Source organism: Homo sapiens, chromosome 6 (assembly GCF_000001405.40).
Source record: "Homo sapiens chromosome 6, GRCh38.p14 Primary Assembly".
Classification (NCBI taxonomy): Eukaryota; Metazoa; Chordata; class Mammalia; order Primates; family Hominidae; genus Homo; species Homo sapiens.
The window spans coordinates 95,579,192-95,599,525 of record NC_000006.12 but is presented as its reverse complement, the minus strand read 5'-3'; the positions used below and the strand labels follow the sequence as shown (position 1 = coordinate 95,599,525).

General features: G+C 33.8%; 1 protein-coding gene across 2 annotated transcripts in view, besides 1 other annotated feature; it reads right to left on the bottom strand.

The window, feature by feature from the left end:
- The window catches only part of MANEA (mannosidase endo-alpha), a 31,918-nt gene that overhangs the window by 9,927 nt on the left and 1,657 nt on the right, over positions 1-20,334 (bottom strand). For both annotated transcript variants that reach the window (NM_024641.4, XM_005267147.4), the window contains exons 2-3: positions 12,543-13,124; positions 2,680-2,789 (exon numbers count right to left, since the gene is read on the bottom strand). In NM_024641.4, coding sequence (NP_078917.2) covers positions 2,680-2,789; positions 12,543-13,086 — 654 coding nt within the window. In that variant the 5' untranslated portion in view covers positions 13,087-13,124. The remainder of the gene's footprint in view (positions 1-2,679; positions 2,790-12,542; positions 13,125-20,334) is intronic.
- Positions 14,886-15,086: a silencer, noted in NCBI's record as "peak5967 fragment used in MPRA reporter construct". NCBI's record gives its function as "represses an SCP1 promoter by STARR-seq MPRAs in K562 erythroleukemia cells {active_cell/tissue: K562}" and the evidence as "EXISTENCE:reporter gene assay evidence [ECO:0000049][PMID:32103011]".

Sequence of the window (20,334 nt, the reverse complement as noted above, 5' to 3'; positions counted from 1 at the left end):
TGCAAGAAGTTACAGAGCAAATAAAAAGCTTCAGCAAATTTTAAGAGTGGTTGCAATCTCAGAGTGGTCTCTAGTTAAAAGAACCTACATCACTTTTTTTTTTTTTTTTGAGATAGACTCTCACTCTGTCGCCCAGGCTGGAGTGCAGTGGCACCAATCTCAGCTCACTGCAATCTCTGCCTCCCAGGTTCAAGCAATTCTCATGCCTCAGCCTCCTGAGTAGTAGCTGGGACTACAGGTGTAGTATATCCATCAGATATAGTGTTTGAAATAAGATACTAAGAGACACCCTTTATCAAGCTAAAGAACTTTGGTTACTAAGGACTTCATTAACAATGAATTTTTATTTCCTAAAATTTTCAGTATCTCTTAAGATAACCATGTTTTACCTTCTTTAAATAATCAATGAAGTTTTATTTACTTAGTGCTTACTCTGTGCCAGACAGCAATCTATGTTTTACATATATTATCTAATATAATCTTTATAACCATTCTGTGTGTAAGGAAGGTTTTGTTGCTATTTCTATTTTAGAGATGAAGAAGCTGAGACACAAGTCATTTATAAAGCTACAAGGTGGTTGAGCCAGGATTGAATGCAGACCTGAATTTAGATTCAGATTTCATATGATTGGAACCATTCTTAAATCCTTGCTAATAAACACTTCTTCTCAAAATTCCCTCTAGGAATTTTGAATCTATTTTCATTGGTAAGATTAGTCTGTCTCTTTCTTGTTCTATCCTTTCTTAGTTTTAAATAAAAATTGTGCTATTGTGGAATAAATTTGGAAGTTTTCTGTGGTTGCCATTCTTCAAGATGGCCCCCCGATACCCATCTCCTGGTATTCATAACTTTGCAGTTCCCTCCCACATTGTGCCATGGTTGTTTTATCCGTAGATAAAACAACAGAATGGGACAGAAGTATTAACACGTCATTGCCAAGATTTATGTCAAAAAACAAAACAAACAAAAACAACCCTGTAGCCCCTATATTAGACTCTCTCTCAGATCTTTCACTCTAGTGAAGCTGGAGGCCCATATATAGAAGTACAGAGTCTCCAGTTCACCTGCTGCAAAGAACTGAGGTCTGTCATCCACCACATGAGAAAGTCTGTTAGTGGATCCTCTAGCCTCAGATGACTACAGCACCAGCCAATAGCTTGCCTGTAACCTCCTTCAGAGACCCTGAACCAGACACTCCCAAATAAGCCACTTCCAGATGCTTGACCCTTAGAAATTGTGTGAGGTAACAAATGTTTATTGTTTTAAGCTACCAAGTTTTGGAATAATTTGTTATGCAGCAATAGATAGTGAGTATACTTGACACTGTATTTCAGTTATCATAAAAATCAACTATTCTGAATACAACTGAGAGGTAAACCTGACACTTTGGGGAAGACATTTGTTCAATTATCTTTTATACGTTTTTTTCTAGGATAGTCAATTCAGATTCTTTAAACCTCTTTCTGCACCAAAAAAAATTAATTTTAGTATTTTCCTATAAAACTACCATATAAATTTTAAATAGACTGATATAAAATCTTAAACTCTCTTCTGAAACTATAGGTATATTTCTTTTCAATTTTTGCTGATATGTTTTCTCAATTTCTTTTCTTTTTTAATCTCACCAATGGCTTGCCTATTGTTTTTTCCCCAAAAGTGGACAATAGTAAAGATTAATTTATCCAGACTACTGATTTTGAAGGACTTGTATACTATTTAATTAATTTCACACTTCATCTATCATAGTTCTTTCTTCTACTATGTCTTATTATTTAGGTCCCATTGGTATTGATAATGCAATAATCTCAGTGCTATTTATATCACTTAAATTTCAGAGTTATTCTCAATTATGTTATTAAAATTTTAATAATTTTATACTTTCTAAATGGTTTGGACTTAATTATTAACATTCCATGGTACTGAATGTGGTCAGAGAATGCAGACTCTATGGTTATAATTTTTATGAATTTATTAGAATTAATGTTGCTACCTAATACATGACCAATTTTTAAAATGTATCTTTGGATATTAAAAACAGTGCTTATTTACTTGCTATTCAGTATAAAATTTTCTTTTGTAGTGCTATTTAAATACTTTTAATCATCACTCCTATTTGTTTCCATGATTCATTAATTTCTAAAAGAAATAAAATCTTAAGACTGTCAGAAGTGTTCCCTCATTTGCAACACACATTAATTTCTGCATCAAATATACTTGATCTTTCTGCTGTATTCTATATTTACTCAGGTGTGTATGTGTATGCACATTAAATAAGGTTTAAATGAAAATTGGATTTTGAAAAATATTTGAGCAAGTTTATTTTTTAACTACTTTATAAATATGCAAAGTTACATGGTTAATACTTGTTTTTAGATTTTTGACATCTAAGATATTTAGACATATAAATCTTCACTACTATATTATCTTCACAAAAGAACCTTTCAATCCCTTTCTACTATAAAAAAATAAAACATTAGAAACATAGTAAAGAATCTCTAAAATATAATTTAGATAAGATTGAAATTCCTATTATAGAAATTTTCTTTATGAAATATAGTATTTAAAAGATTCTAAGTCATTATCATTTTTAATTAAAATTACTATTTCAAAAATTGTTATTACTCTCCTCTTGTCCAAAAGAATTAACTTATGTATAGCTTGAAAATAAAATAAAATACCTTTAGGTTATATTTATGAGCTTTATCCAAAATAGTGGGTACCAAGTTATCAGTAGGTTCTCCATTTTCATCATTTACATCAGGTGGGTACCAAGAGAGGGCTAGTACACCTAATAGAAAAGACCAAAAAGAAAGGGAAAAGACAAGAACATGAATGCAGATATTCTTAAAAAGGCACAGTAAGTACCAAAGAGTTAACAATAGAAGAACATATTTATACGAGGTGGTTTTGTTAAGTTCCTTCAGAATACATATGGCTATTTGATCACTTTGTCAATATTTATGACCTCTTTATCAGGCATTAATAAGCTTTTGTAAAAGTGAACAGACTTTACATTTTAGAGTAAGTTTTAGGTTTACATAAAAATAGCAAAGAAAATATGGAGTTCTCATATACTCTTCCTCCTACCTGCCCCAACCCTCCACACGGTTTCTCCTATAATTAACATCTTTCATTTGCTACAATTGATGACCCAATATTGAAAGATTTTTATTCACTAAAGTCCATAGTTTACATCAGGGTTGACACTTTGTGTTGTACAGTTCGACAGGTTTTGACAAATCTATTATACCATATGCTCTCCATTAGAGTAGCTGAAAAACTAGTTTTACCAGCTCTATAAACCTCCTGTGCTATACTGATTCATCCCCGTTCCCTCTCCCCCTCACCCCTGCCAATAACTAAGCTTTTTGCTGCCTATAATTTTGCCTTTTCCAGAAGGTCATATAGTTGGAATTACAAAGTATGTAGCTTTTTAGAACTGGCTTCATTCATTTAGCAACTTGAATTTTTAGGTTCCTTCATACCTTTTCATAACTTGATAGCTCATTTCTTTTTACTGCTGCATAATATGCCATTGTATTTATTTTATACATTCACCTAATGAAGGACATCTTGGTTGCTTCCAATTTTTGCCCATTATGAGTAAAACTGCTATAAACATTTATATGCTGTTTTTGTGTAGATCAATACCTTTTAACAGAAGATTCTAACATAGTAAAATAATTACTGTTCCTCTCTGTAGTGCCTGCCTACTTATTTTTGAACTGATAAATTATGTGTTAGAAGCATAAATTACATGAAAATCACTAACTGGAGACGGAATATTTAAGATGAATTAATTCAAAGCCTCATTACGTATACAAAGAAATGGACAGTCATTAGAAAGATTGCACAAATTTCTAGATAAATAAACAGACTCTTTAAGGCAGAGAAATAAATAATAATGGTACCAAAAGAGAAGCATATGGAAATTAAGAAATTGAAGGTAAGAAACTGCTGGAGAACTAAATTTTAAGACCTAAGTTTTGTGCTAGCCGCCATGTACAAATAAGTAAGTCCCATCTAGGACAACAAAATCAAAGTTAATGGAAAAATAATCCTTATGTCCCCTATCCACTCTGAAAATAAGAATGGCAACTAGAACGAAACATAGAAAAAATAACCTATAACATATGAGGCTTTAGGGAAACTGGCTAGCCAGAGGAAGGCATATCCTAGAGAGAAATGCTGGTGAGAAAAGTGTCTGGAGACAATCCAACATTTTATAAGCGATCACTTACAATCTTGTAAGATTACTAGCCCAGCTTATAAGAAGAATATCACCAATGAAAATAAGAATGACAACAAAAAGTTTTCTCAACATGGGACCTACGAAAAAATTATTTTATGCAGAAAATGAAAGGAACAAAATAAGAAAAAATATTAAACAACAGAAAGATTATGCTATGAATCACATGAAAATTATAAGCAAAACATTCTTCCATAAAAGTAAAAACAAAACAAGATTCCTGTTTCTAATAATAGCAGACTAGTCTAAAATAACAGTTGGTCTAATAGTAAACCAAGCACTCTCCATGAAAATAACCATTATTATTATATAAAACACGGGGAGAAAATGTCTTAAAGAGCTGAAGAGAGTAAGAAATGTCCTGGCCAAATTGAAGGGAAAATGTGAAACCAGAAAGATAAGTGAGCAAGGAGGTCTGTTTGCCCCAAGCAAAATTGGTACAAGTAAACCAACTCTCAAAAGCAGTGAATTAAACTGCAGGTTCACAATGCTTGTACAATCCTCTAGCTTTAGACCTAATTTAAGGTAACCAGAAATGGTATTCTAAACAGTCACCAGGCAGAAGCAAAAGAAAATCCTTTCTGGAGGAAGGCATCTTCTTCCTGGGCCTCAAATTATTTACAAAAAGTATTTCATAAAGAACAATAAATAGTATACAATCAAAGATAATTAAGAACACAAAGAATAAAACACCATGCACAAGAATTGGCAGAAACAAGACAACAGCAACATGCAACAACTTCAGGTATCGCCATTACACACACTTCTAAAAATTACCTTCATAGTTTAAAAAAGATAAAAAGCACTTACCTTTAAAAATGCAGAAAATCATTACTTTTGCCCTTTTCCTAATTCATCTACCACTCTTCTATTTCTTTTTGTGAGAGGCAGGGCAGTATAGTAGAATATGCATGCGCTTTGAACATGTATTCAAATATCTCACCACTTATCAGCTACATGAACTAAGGGCAAGTTAACTTCTTGCTTCTGTGGCCTCACCATCAAAACACAGATTATTCTTACCTTTCAGGATATATTTTAAGTACACACATAAAATTCCACTTACTAGACTACAGTATTCAAGAAATATTCGTTCCTTTAACTACAACATTCTCTGTTTTTTCCCTCACATTTTTCCCTCCCTCTTCAACCATACCCCTCTCCTAGCACGCACATACACATGTACACACACATGAGCTTTTGCTTTTTTTTTTTGAGACGGAATCTTGCTCTGTTGCCAGGCTGGAGTGCAGTGGCACAATCTCAGCTCACTGCAACCTCCGCCTCCCAGGTTCAAGTGATTCTCCTGCCTCATTCTATCGATTACAGATAGAATCCCTCCTCTGGGATTACAGGCACCCACCACCACACCTGGCTAATTTTTGTATTTTTAGTAGAGATGGGGTTTCACCATGTTGGCCAGGATGGTCTTGATCTCCTGATCTCCTGATCCTCCCACCTCGGCCTCCCAAAGTGCTGGGATTACAGGCGTGAGCCACCACACCCAGCCAGTCTTTTCCATCTTTATACTATCATCTCCATTCCACCATTTCTTTACTCTCTTCCTCAAGCTTGATTACATTCTAGTCCTATGCTCTCCAAAATAATACCCATATCTACCATATAAATTAAAATTTAAAAGAATTAAGTTTTCTTGCACACTCAACTAGCTACGTTTCAAGTGTTCAATAGCCACATATGACTATGTATCTACTGTTTTAGGCAGCACAGATAGAGAATATTTTCATCATCACAGAAAATTCTACTGGATAGCGCTGCCATATTATTCTGATTCTCCTAATAAATTAACCATCCCATTCTTGGTCTAGTAATTTCTCTTCCTCTTTTATCCTCTTTGCAAGTATACTCTATGGCTTTGGAGGAATGTTCTTTCTTCTCCCTTACAATGTTGTTATATTTCAGCTTCTTTATTGCATCAATTATGACTTCCAGATATCTAATTCTATCCCTATACTGTGATCCACAGCCCAATTAATCATTATACAGTGTCTTCTGGACTGTGGCACTGAATAAATACTAGCCTGGGAACCACGCCAGTGATTGTCGTACTTCTGAGGAGTGTTGGGAATTTACAATGGCAGTGAATCCTTGATAGTAACCAGAGAAGTGTCTATAAAATAAGCCAACTGAGTATCACTTATAAGTAAAATCTATTACTCTGTATTTCTGTCATCCTAATTGCTTAGCAAACTCTAGGATGCTCTTTGAAGTCCATTCTTGAAATATTAGCAAACTAAATGCAAAAACTCATGTCATGTTGCTCATGTCACCCCTCCATGCCACTTATTACAGGACCTTCAATATAATTGATAGTCAATTTTTTTTGTTGTTAGTAAAGTGATGCATTCAAATAGGATAACAGTTAAGAATATAGGGTATAAAAATCAGATAGGCCTAGAGAATCGAGTTCTTATTCTGTTATTTGATAGATGAGTATCTTTAGGTAAGTTATTTTACTTAAGTTTCCACATCTGTAAAATGTAGGATAAGGCCTGTTTTAAAAAGCACAAATGAGAGAATGCATCATGCAGAGTAAAACACCTAAAAAGTGATTATAAATAACACTTAATAACAAGAAGACAGTATAATGATGGATAAATTTGGATACCTTGAGCCCCAGAAAACTTGTTATGTGTTCATAGGAAATTTAGAGCTTCTTTTGAACATCTCAAACATTCTTTCAAACTAAAGCTTTAAGAGAAAAAAAGGCAAGCTCATTTCTAGACGTAACACAATTTTCACTATCTTACCCAGGGTGACATACTTTTAACAAAATTTTACAAGGTACAGAAAAAAAAGCAAGAAAAACAATTCACTGACAAGAAACAAAGCAATCAATAGAAACAGACTCACAAATGAGATACGTTGGAATCATCAGAGAGAGAATATAAAATTACTGTAATGAATATCTTAAAGGATCTAATGGACAAAGTAGCTAACACACAAGATCTGGCAAATTTCAGCAGAGATATGGGAACTATAAGAACAAATAAAACAGAAATGCCAGGAATGAAAGACTACTTAAAAAGATGAATTAATGCCTTTAATAGGCTCATTAACAGAGCTGAGGAGATAATCAGGAAACTTCAAGGCAAGTCAAAAGAAATTACCTTATCCAAATTACCATAATGAGAAAAAAGACTGGGGAAAACAATAGAACAATGCATTTAACAGTTGCGAGATAAATATCAAAGTTCTAGTACACATGTAATTGGAAACCCAGAAGTAGGAGGTTTATTTGAAAAAATAATCAGGCTGGACACGGTGGCTGACGCCTGTAATCCTAGCACTTTGGGAGGCCCAGGCAGGTGGATAACGAGCTCAGGAGATCGAGACCATACTGGACAACATGGTGAAACCTTGTCTCTACTAAAAGTACAAAAATTAGCTACGCGTGGTGGAGCACATCTGTAGTCCCAGCTACTTGGGAGGGTGAGGCAGGAGAATTGCTTGAACCCAGGAGGCAGAGGTTGCAGTGACAGTGAGCTGAGATCAGGCCACTGCACTCCAGCCTGGGCGACAGGGTGGGACTCCATCTCATAAAACAATAACAATAATCACTAAGAATTTAGCAAAATTAATAAAAGACACAAAGCAACAGATTAAAAATTCAGAGAACACCAAGAAGGATAAATAACAAAAAATAACAGGAGTAACAAGTAACCATACCATGTTTAGACTGCTAAAAAACAAAATAGAAAAAAGAAAAAAAGAAAAAAATTAAATGCAGCCAGAAAACAACAACAGCAACAACAAAACATATCCATCCAAGAAAATGAGGATATAAAAAGATTTTTTTAAATTACGGCAGACTACTCATCAGAAACCATGAAAGACTGAAGAAAAAGAAGAAAAAAAGAAATGGAATACATTTTCAAAATTCCAAAAGAAAACAATCCCCTAAAACCTGCCCATTGAGAATTCCATAGGTGATGAAACATCTTTCAAAATAAAGGCTACAAACAAAATTTGAAAATATTCATTGCAAGGAGACCAGTAAAACAAGATAAAAGAAATTTTTAAGAGAGAAAGAATATGATATTAGACATACACTTGGATCTACATTAAAATATGGATGGGGAACAGTAGAAATGGAATAAATGTAAAAAACATTCTTACTTTTAATCACTGTGAAAAACAACTGATTATTGAAAAGAGTGATCAGCAAACTATGACCCATCGGCCAAATCTTGCCTTTTACAGGCCAATTCATCTATATATTTGTCTATCTATTGCTTATAACCATTTTCACACTATAAGGATAGAGCTGAGTGGTTGCAAAGAGAGAGAGTGAGGGACTCACAAAATCAAAAATATATATTAGGCAGTCCTTTACAGAAAATGCTTGCCAACCTCTGGCCTACAGCAATGATAGTAAAATACCATTTCTTATGTGACAGAATTACGACAATAGCAAACTATGGGAGGGAAACATAGGGAATATCAGTGGTGAAGACCTTACATTACACATTAAGTATATATTATTTGCAAGTAGACTGTCTCCTTGCAATGAATACTTTCAAATTTTTTTTGTAGCCAAAGGTTGGGCATCTATAGCAATATGAAAGCTTTATGGAATATCACCACTCTACAGTTATAAATATAACCTTTAAACTTAATGCAAATAGTTATTATAAAAGGAAATTTTATGACATCATATTAGATGTTATTAGGTACATTTAAACTTTATGTGTCTAATTCATCTCATTGTGACTTCTACTTTTATGTATAAATTTTTAAAGGCAGGAGATGCAGAAGTAAGAATTGTAACCTTACTAAAACAAATATGTCATACTTTCAGGAAATATTCTAATGTTGAAATCCATCCAGTGTTTTTAAAGCAACAATGATGAAAACAAAGGAACTGGGAAATGTGACTTGCTCATTTTTATGTCCCTAGAATCTAGCACAAGCTTGGAACGTCATGGAAAATCAATAAATATTTAGTGCTAAACTGAAACAATGGGAAGATAATTTTAAAGTCATAGAGTACATTATGTTTTGCTAAATGTAGCAGTTCTCTATTTTGCCATAACAAACTATCACAAATTTAGTTGCTTAAAACAACGTAAATTTATTACCTTACAGTTTTGCATGTCAGGAGTGTTGACATGGGTCTTAATATGCTAAGATCAAGGCCAGGTATTGGACTGGATGACATTCCTTTCTGGAGGCTCTAGGAAAGAATCCCTTTCCTTGCCATTCAAGCTTGTAGAGGCTACCACATTCTTTGGCTCATGAACTTCTTGTTCCATCTTCAAAGATAGCAACAGGGGGTCGAGTCTCTCGTGCATCCCTCTGACTCTCTTTTCCCTCTTCTTCTATTTATAAGGACTTATGTGACTAGATTAGCTGTACCCAAATAATGAAGGATAATGCCATCTCAAGTTCAGATGATTAGCAATCTTTTGCACCTGCAACCCTAATTCCCCTTTTGCCAAATAAAATAATATATTCACAGATTGTGGGAATTACGATGTCCACATCAGAAAATGGGGGCTATTTTCTGACCAGTCTACTAAAGTTTTAGTAAACTGTATAAAAAAAAGAAGGCATTCATCTGTTACTTTTAGAGTTGTAATACAGCAATACAAGAGGATAGAATACATGATACGTAATATTTTACTTAAAAGACTTGAAAAGGATACAAATCTACCATATGCCATTGTAATATATCTGATACATTATATATAATAATTGGATTTTAAACATAACATTAATAGTTCATTTTAATTTTATCATTCTTTTCAATGAAGGGTTGAGCCATTAGGATTTATGCCAACCACACTTAATTGTAAAAGCAGAAAATCAACCAACTTGTACTCTGCGATATAACAGCATAATTACTTCACACAGCAATTCAACTTAAGATAAAAAGAAGGCCATTTATATCAAAGGAAAAATATGAATGTTAAATATGTAGTCAAAGCACAGTCAACCATACAACAATTTAAACAGCCTTCATTTACTATCTTCTTCAATCCAAAGAATGCCTGAGTCAGCATGCCAGCTCCATGGATTAAATTAGGGTTTTGAGTCAGTATTCCAACAGTCAAATTATTTTCTGCCTGGTAACAATGAGTATAATTCAATATTTAACTCATTAAGAAATTATTTCTTTATTTATAAATTGATTATGTCACTTTTATTATCAAGTTTATTTTTTAATTTTGTCTAGGAGAAAATCCATCAAAAAGTAAAATATTTGCATCCGTAGTGAAGCTGTCAACATTTAAAATTGAAATGACTGTATTACTGTCAATGTTTAGAAATAATTAATGTTCATATACATGATACAATACTAAAATATTATACAGGGAAAAAGGTCTTTATAAATATGAATAGGCATAAAAATGTTTACTGAAACTTTTCTTCCTGATCACAAACTATACCAAAAATAGTGTAACACATATATTTCTATTTAAAATTTATATTTACCACATATATTATTTATATATGTTTATGTATTACAAATATGTATTAATATTAGTTATATTTATAATGGAGGGGAAAAAACCCTCATTGTATACTATTCAAATTGCAAATGAAAATTAAAACTTTAAAGAACAACCATTTCCTCTGTCAATCTAGCATAGTTTTTTTAGCCATATCAAGACAGTCTTGAATAAAGACTTAAATGTGACACAAATTTTTTGTAAACAATAGAAAAAATATCATTTGAAAAGATTCTCCTCCCAAAAGCAAATTAGTAGAGACAGACACACACACATACATATTGACCACACAGAAGTCAATGCTGTCTTAACTGACCCAAGCTATTTTATGTCATAATACATACAGAACATAGAAACTAAATCTCTAACTATACTATAAAGTTAAATTTTATAAATACTTGAAAAAAGTTAGTCCATACAAGGAAAACAACTCATCTTGCACATATCTGATATAGATTCATAGAATTCTACATTGTTTTGTTCATCAAAGACTCTTGTGTTTCTCTAAATACATATCAGCTCCATGGTGAATCCATACCTTTATGTAGAGCTGGAAAAATGTAAGAATACCCAATTTCTTGTTCTAGCTCTACTGGTAGGGGCACTAAAAAGATAAATGAAACTGAAACTGGAAGGTTTTACAAAGACTATATTAACAAACTGAAGAATTTTCAGGCACCAAGTTATATTTTTTCTGTAATTCACCTGTGGGACAATATGACTCTATCTAAATATATGTAATTGGAGTGCCAGAAGGAAGGAGAAGAGAAAGGTGAGAAGCGGTGGGAACAACAATAAGAATCAGTTAAGTTAAAGGGGCGTATTGTAAAAAGGTACAGTTATAAATAAAACAAATGAATAACATAAGCCAGAAGAAAATATAAAACAGAATAATACGCATATGTAATGTAAGAGAAGGAAGAAAAAGAAGGAAAAAAAGAAACAGACGTGTGGGACAAATGGAAAATAAACAGAAAAATGGCAGATTTAAAATCATATCATTATTACATTAAACATAAATGAAATAAACAGACATTAAGACTGACAGAATAACTTTAAGAAACAGAAAAGCAGGACTAAATTACATGCTACATGCCTAAAATTTGAAAAAGCCCAAACACCTATCAACAGGTGAATATAAAAGCAAATTTGCCAAAATCAAACAATAGGAGACTTCTCATCAATAAAAATGACTAAGCTATTGATATAGTTAAGTGCAGTTCAAAATATTGTGCTGAGCAAAAGACATACACACATACAAATGCTGAATGACTCTATTTTCATAAAGTAATAGAACACTCACAACTATTCTCCAGTGATAGAAATCAGATCTGATAGAAATCAGATCCAGCTGATATGTATACAGTTTTCAGCGGTAGGGGAGAAGGTAGGCCTGAATAAAGGAATTATGATGAGACTTTTTGGGCTATAGAAATATTTTACTTCTTGATTGGGGTGGTATTCAAACAGGTATATACTTTTGAGTAACATCAATGAGCTATAAACTTAAAGTGGGAAATTCATTGTATTTTATGTAAATCATAATTTAATAAAATTGAGAAAGTGAATTAAATTAGAAATCAACAATATATCCAGAAATGCTCCAAAATGTAAAAATTAAACAATATACACTAAGGGCAGTGTTAAAATGTGGTTGCCTGGATGTTTAAGATCATACATACAGTTTAATTTGGAGGTATGAGCTTAACAATATAATTAATAATAATGAGAAAATTAACTAGTAAAGTTACACAAAAAATCATTTATATGCATATATACAGACACAAACACACATATATATATATACAATAATTACCAATTGAAGCTGAGCGCATTTGTCTCATGTGAGTTTCTATGACAGAAGGATCCCGAGAACTGTAACTTCCCAATTCAGGATAAAAGCTGGAGCCAATGTCATCTGGAGGGTTGTGTCTCCCTTGTGGATAATTCTTGGCTATTCTAGGGTCCCAATGCTCTAACACTGGATGATTCCAATGTATATATTTACCATCAAATTGTGGATTTCCATACCAACTGTAATAAAATACATGTAGATAATTGTTCAGAGGTGGTAGTTCATCCAAGTTAAGTTCAGAGGCTTTGGAAGGTTTCATAGTGATTTCAACACTTTTTAAATTCTTGGTATTTGTTTCACTGTTGATTCTGTCACTCTTTTGGAAATCAAAATTTTTCCCCAAATGAATAGTTCGTTGATGAAGTTCTGGAAGAAGGTCAAGTCCAAAAGGAGCTCCAAAAGTAGCTGTATTTGGTCTCAGCATTTTTAAACCCATCATCAGAGAGAAAATAAATAGAATAAAAAGTGCCAAAATGATGCAAGTCCTTCTCCGAAACTTTGCCATGATGACATACTTTAAACTCCAAAATAGTAAGTGTTTTGCTGCAATTTATTGAAAAAAGATAATTAGTAAGTGTTATCAACAGTATTTTCCAATATATTCAACACGAAAACTAAAATCCATAAATTTCATTACATTGAATAATTAATACTGATTTCATCACATATTGGTGAAATTAAGAAAGTGAAGACATTAATTATATCATCATATATAAATGTGTACAATAAGGGTCTATGGCTAGAATAAACGGCAATATTCATTTGGATATATCACCATGTACATGCCAATTACGTTTAGTCAGACGAACCTTTAGGAAATTTTATTTAAGAAATTAAAATATGTTTTTCATTACTTGAACAGATTACATGTATGCTGAATGTAGGAAGGGAACATTCTATGTATGTGAACTAAAATTCTGTTTAAAAATCATTTATTTATTTATTGTAGAGACAAGGTCTCACTATGTTGACCAGGCTGGTCTTGAACTCTTGGGCTCAAGCGATCCTCCTGTCTCAGCCTCCCACATTGCTAGGATTACAGGTATGAGTCACCACACACCTGGCCTGAACTAAAATTTTCTAAATCTAAGTGTAAAATTTACAAATCACAGTTAATAAAAAGGAAATACTTACTAGTGTATGAAAAACCCAGTCATTAAACAGATTTTCTAAAAAATTTTTAACTAACAATTTCATAAAAGGGAAAAATTACAAATTTTAAATAACATTTTGAAGTGAAATAGAATCAGACAAAATTTTTTAAATGACAGTAGAGAAAAAAAGAATAATCACAAGTAAGATATTCCCAATTTTTTCAAAAAATTCATTAGGCTGGGCATGATGGCTCATGCCTGTAATCCCAGCACTTTGGAAGGCTGAGGCAGGAAGATCACTTGAGTTCAGCAGTTTGAGACCAGCCTGGACAACCACGGGGAGACCCCATCCCTACACAAACTTTTAAAAAATTGGCTAGGCATGGTGGTGTGTGCCTGTAGTTCCCCAGCTACTCATGAGGCTGAGGCAGGTGGATTGCTTGAGCCCAGAAGGTCAAGGCTGCAGTGAGCCATGATTGTGCCACTGCACTCCAGCCTGGGTGACAGTGCAAGAAAACGTCTCCAAAAATAAAATTAACTTACGACTCTGAAAATCTTACTGAACAGAGGTTATAAACAGTAATTTATAACTTCTGAAAGGGTATTATATGTGTTTTTGTTTTAGTAAGTATGTTTATGGACATATATTAATGCAGTGCTTCTTGGCTGATTAAGAAAAGACATTATTGTTGTGTGTGTATATATATATATATATGAGTATAAGTATATAGGTACATATACACCATATGAATGAAATATTCAAGTCTTTTTATATACAGATTTCTTATTAGAAAGGTATTTGGCACAATGCTGACATTGACTGCTTTATAAAATGAGTTCTATGATACGGTGCTGTTATTATAGAGAATTAAGTTAAAAAAGACTTAACTCCAATAGAAAAGAAAGACAAGTGAAACTTCCTACAAACTGCTGCTTCTATTCTATCGGGGGAACCCATCCCCAATATTTCAACGTAGGTTCTTTCTATTTTCCATAAATGTCAACCAGTCTGAGAAATAAGAGAGAGAGTACAAAGAGAGGAATTTTACAGTTGGGCCACCGGGGGTGACATCACATATCGGTAGGACCATGATGCCCACCTGAGCCACAAAACCAGCAAATTTTATTAAGAATTTCAAAAGGGGAGGGGGTCCAAGAACAGGGAGTAACTCACAAGATCACATACTTCAAAGGGCAAAAAGGAGAACAAAGATCACATGCTTCTGGGGAAACAGGAGAAAAGGCAAAACAGAACTACTGGTAAGGGTCTATGTTCAGCTGTGCACCTACTGTCTTGATAAACATCTTAAACAACAGAAAACAGGGTTCGAGAGCAGAGAACCAGTCTGACCTCAAATTCACCAGGGTGGGGTACTGGAGGAGACCAGGGCGTATCTCAGTCCTTATCTCAACCGCATAGGACAGACACTCCCAGAGCGGCCGCTTATAGACCTCCCCCGAGGAATGCAATTCTTTTCCTAGGGTCTTAATATTAATGTTCCTTGCTAGGAAAAGAATTTAGTGATACCTCTCCTACTTGCACGTCCATTTATAGGCTCTCTGCAAGAAGAAAAATATGGCTCTTTTTGCCCGACCCCACAGGCAGTCAGACTTTATCGCTGTCTTAAAAATCGCTGTTACTCTGTTCTTTTTCAAGGTGCACTGATTTCATATTGTTCAAACACACGTTTTACAATCAATTTGTACAGTTAACACAATTATAGTGGTCCTGAGGTGACGTACATCCTCAGTTTACGAAGATAAGAGGATTAAGAGATTAAAGTAAGACAGGCATAAGAAATTATAAGAGTATTCTTAGGGAAGTGATAAATGTCCATGAAATCTTCACAATTTATGTTCCTCTGCTGCAGCTCCAGTCAGTCCCTCCGTTCGGGGTCCCTGACTTCCCACAACACTATTCTACATGTATTTAAGAAACACTAAACTAACCAAGTATATTTCTTTAACAGCTAAAATCATAAGAATTATTTTTAAGGTTAATCTTGTTTAATTGTGAATAGTGAATAATATAAAGAATAACATAAAAGAATAGTATAAAAGACATGTCTAGTTTAAAACATATAAAGTAAACATTCAAAAAGAAATCTGCCAGCTTAAAAGCTCCTTTCCACTTCTCGTGCTCCCTCTGAATCACCAGTCCTGCCCTTCTCCCTGCCTAAGGGCAACTGCTTGAATTTTGTGTTTACCATTTCACCTCTTCTTTCTTTATAGTTTTCCCACCGCACACAAGCATATCTAACTAAAGTTAACTGTATTTTGTCTGTTTCAAACTTTAAGTAAATATGGTGTGTGTACATATATACGTCATATATGTATATATGTATACTGTATATACGATATGCATACTGTAAATATATCAAGGCATGCAGGTACATACATAAACGTGTGTATGTGCATATGTACACATACATGCACATATATGTGTATTTACATATTGTGCATCTTATGTTATATATGGATACATGTCATATATATTTAGATATAAATATGTATGATTATATATACATAATTAAATGTATTTAAATTTATAAAACTCTTGGGAAACAATATTAATTACTAAATCTTTTCTGACACTTTACCTGGTATCCTAACTCTTACCCATCCCTGCATTCCATCACATCAGTTCCCTCCCTCTCTAATAAAAAGCTATGTAAATGAACTTTTAGTAAAGGAATAGGTAGACAGGTCTGGAGATTTTGTTTTAATAACTATATACATACTGACAAAATGTTCCTCCAGAAGATATCTAATTAATTACAAATGGGGAAATAATAACAGTGGAAAACCTACCAAAACACCAATTTAAACTAGTGATCAAAATTGACTTTATCAGTTAATTTGGATAAATAAGTATGGCCATTAGTCTTCAGCGAACCCGTACTGAGAAAAACACAGAATCACTGCTGTGGTACTCTTGTTAAAAATTAATCCAGATCTAATCACGAGGAACCATGAGACAATATATTAAAGAGAGGATACACACATATACATAAATACACACATATTCATACATATATGTACACCACATACATACACTATATATAAAATGTATGGCTTACATACAATGCAACGTATAATAAGTAAGGGTATGTGTGTTTGTGTATAATGGTAAGCAAATATGGTAAAATATTACCATATGGTGAATATGCAGGAAAAGTAAACAGAAATTGTTTGTGCTATTTATCCCAGCAGTAAATAGAAGAATGTGAGCTGTTAACATACCTGCTTATTTCTGGAAAGGGCTAAGTCACAAAGTCTTTCAAACCCTGCACTACATGACTCTGTGAAGTGAAATTTCTACATGTGAGCTGTGGCAGTCCTGTTGCACTAACAGGTATAAAAGGATGGGCTGGGCGTGGTGGCTCACGCCTGTAATCCCAGCACTTTGGGAGGCTGAGGCAGGCAGATCACGAGGTCAGGAGATCAAGACCATCCTGCCTAACACGGTGAAACTCCATCTCTACTAAAAATACAAAAAATTAGCCAGGCATGGTGGTGGGCACCTGTAGTCCCAGCTACTCGGGAGGCTGAGGCAGGAGAATGGTGTGAACCTGGGAGGCAGAGCTTGTAGTGAGCAGAGATCGCGCCACTGCACTCCAGCCTCGGCGACAGAGCAAGACTCCGTCTCAAAAAAAAAAAAAAAAAAAAAAAAAAAAGATGATACAACCATTTTGGCATGCCACTGTAATTTGTTGTCCTGAAATTTTCAAATCATTGACATCACAACAAACATTTCCCTTTGATTGAAGAAAGGGAAAATTTTGATGAGACATGAAGCAAAAATAATATTTTGGATGTAATATATCAACTACTATGATATATAATATCATATCTGTATTAAAGATACACATAGAAGGAAATATACTTAAACATGTAAAATAGTTATGTCTGGATGAGACAACAGTGATATTTTCTTACTCTGTTTTCTAAAAGTAGAACATAATACTTCAGAAGGAAAACATTTGGATAGGTATTCTATAAGGAAAAAAACAATGGTAATGAATGTTGGAAGAGTTACAGAGAAAGGAGAAATAACTAACAGATTTATAAATTAGTAAGGCATTCATTTTTGAAACGTTGACTTCAGCTGAATGGCGAGATTCATGAAAGATCAAGATATATAATAAATCTTAAGATGTAAATTCAAATCAGTCACACTTAGTTGTGTGATCCTGGGTAAATCACTTAGCCTTTTCTTAAAAAAGAGGGTATCTGTTTTGCCTACTGATAAAACTATTCTGTGAATCATGCAAGACAATTTGAAACAGTAATGTTTTAATCAAACAGTAAATACTAATGAATTTATAAATAAATGAAAAGTGAAGAAATATTGGAAACTCTAAAAAATTTCTTAGGTTCATTTTCTGGATACACTCATGAATACAAAGCACAAAATGTCCATTTATGGAAGCTGTTTTTTTTTCTCTCTCTCTTGCCTATGAATGTAATTTCTTAAGCTGATCCTCTGTCTTCTCATTTTACATTACTTCATTCATTCAATTAAAATGTGTGTTTATCACATCATTATAGATGACACACAAGCTCAATTTTAAGAGATGATCTGCTGGCTCTGGCTCAACCTCCATGTCTCAATTAAGTCATCTCAACCTAAATAAACACAGATGGGCATTGAGATTTAAAATATGAGCTCTGTAGTTCAAATGCTTGAGCTCAAATTCCAGCTGTGCCATTTTTTAGTTATCTGACCTACAAAACTGACCTGATCTTTCTGAGTTCCTTTCCTCACCCATAGAATGAGTTATTACTTCACTCATAGGATTTTTGTGAGGATGAAATTAGTTAATATTGTAAAACTCTCAAAATCATGTGGCTTAGTATAAGACTAAATAAATGAGCAATTGTTTATGATGATGATTAAAGATGGGTGTCCGACAAGCAATTAAAATATAACACATTTTATTCTAAATGCCTATTCTCTATATGACCAACTATTGAAATACCAGTCACCTTCAAGTCAAAGTTGAAATGCTGCCTCTTCTTGATACCTCTCCTAATTCCACAGTGAAAAGTACTTATTCCTCATATATTTTATTGTTAACAGTATTTACTTTTTAAATTGTCATTTCTTTTTTTTTTTTTTTTTTGAGACGGCGTCTCACTCTGTTGCCCAGGCTGGAGTGCAGTGGCACTATCTCCGCTCACTGCAAGCTCCGCCTCCAGGGTTCATGCCATTCTCCTGCTTCAGCCTCCCGAGTAGCTGGGACTACAGGTGCCTGCCACCACGCCTGGCTAATTTTTTGTATTTTTAGTAGAGATGGGGTTTCACCGTGTTAGCCAGGATGGTCTCGATCTCCTGACCTCGTGATCCACCCGCCTCTGCCTCCCAAAGTGCTGGGATTACAGGTGTGAGCCACCGTGCCCGGCCAAATTGTCATTCCTTATGTATTATATCATGCTGTGCATTTATCTTTATATCACCTACTAGATTGCTCCTTAAGTTTCAGAAATGGAGTCTTTATCTTCACATTCTAGTAGAGCATAACATATCTTTCACATAGTGTTCATTAAGTGTTCAGCTTTAAAAAAGTTAATTTCTGGCTCTTTGCTGTTTCATTGGTATTCAGGCAGTGTGTGTGTATATATATATATGTATATCTGTGTGTGTGTGTATATATAGACTACTGACCGTATACACACTTGATAAGTTTACGGTGTATACTGAACATATTATAAAGAATCGTAAAGATCCAATAATTTTAAAAATCCAATTTAATAAAAAAAATCATCTTCAACGCTGTAAAACCACAATGACCCTTGAGATGCCTAAAATGTCTGATCTTGCAGGAAAGGGGTGGAGGAACTAATTTAGCTTCAATAAAAGAAAAGTATTATAAGTCACCATAGAGAAAATATTACAAGTTTATTGCAGATATATCTTTCCAAGGCAGGGACCTACTCAAAGTATTGGCTACTGAAAATCTGTTTTCTCCTCAAAAGACTGTTTACATTACTCATACACAATAGGTTCTTTTGAACCTGTAGCTTCTATTTTTTGAGTTTTGTGCTTTTAATCCTTTGAAATGCTGACTTGAAGCTTAGTGATGTCTAATAAAAAATTATTGGACATATCCAGCTAGCTAAGAGACCCCAAGAGATTCAGAAGCAGGGTGGTATGAATTAGTACTTCAAAAATTATTTGCTTTTATCATGTAACTCACAAAAGCCAAAAAGACTTCCCTTTCAATTAACTAAATTAAATCACACAGACTTCTGGTGCTTTTTTTAAAAAATATATTGTTTTCTTCTAATTTTATTTTGTATGAAGCCACCGGAGATAAATATAACTCAATACTAGAAGACACATCTGGAACTTTCAAAATCAGTTTCAAAATCAATCCTTGCCCAGGTCAGTTTTATTGTAAACACTTGTACCCTCTGGTTAACAGAAATTCAGTGAGGTTTAGTTTCTGTTTTTTGTTTTGTTTTGTTTTGTTTTTGAGATGGAGTCTCACTCTGTTGCCATGCTGAAGTGCAGTGGCGCCATCTTGGCTCACTACAACCTCCACCTCCCGGGTTCAAGCGATTCTCCTGCCTCAGCCTCCAGAGTAGCTGGGACTACAGGCGCACGCTACGACGCCCAGCTAATTTTTGTATTTTTAGTAGAGACAGGGTTTCAC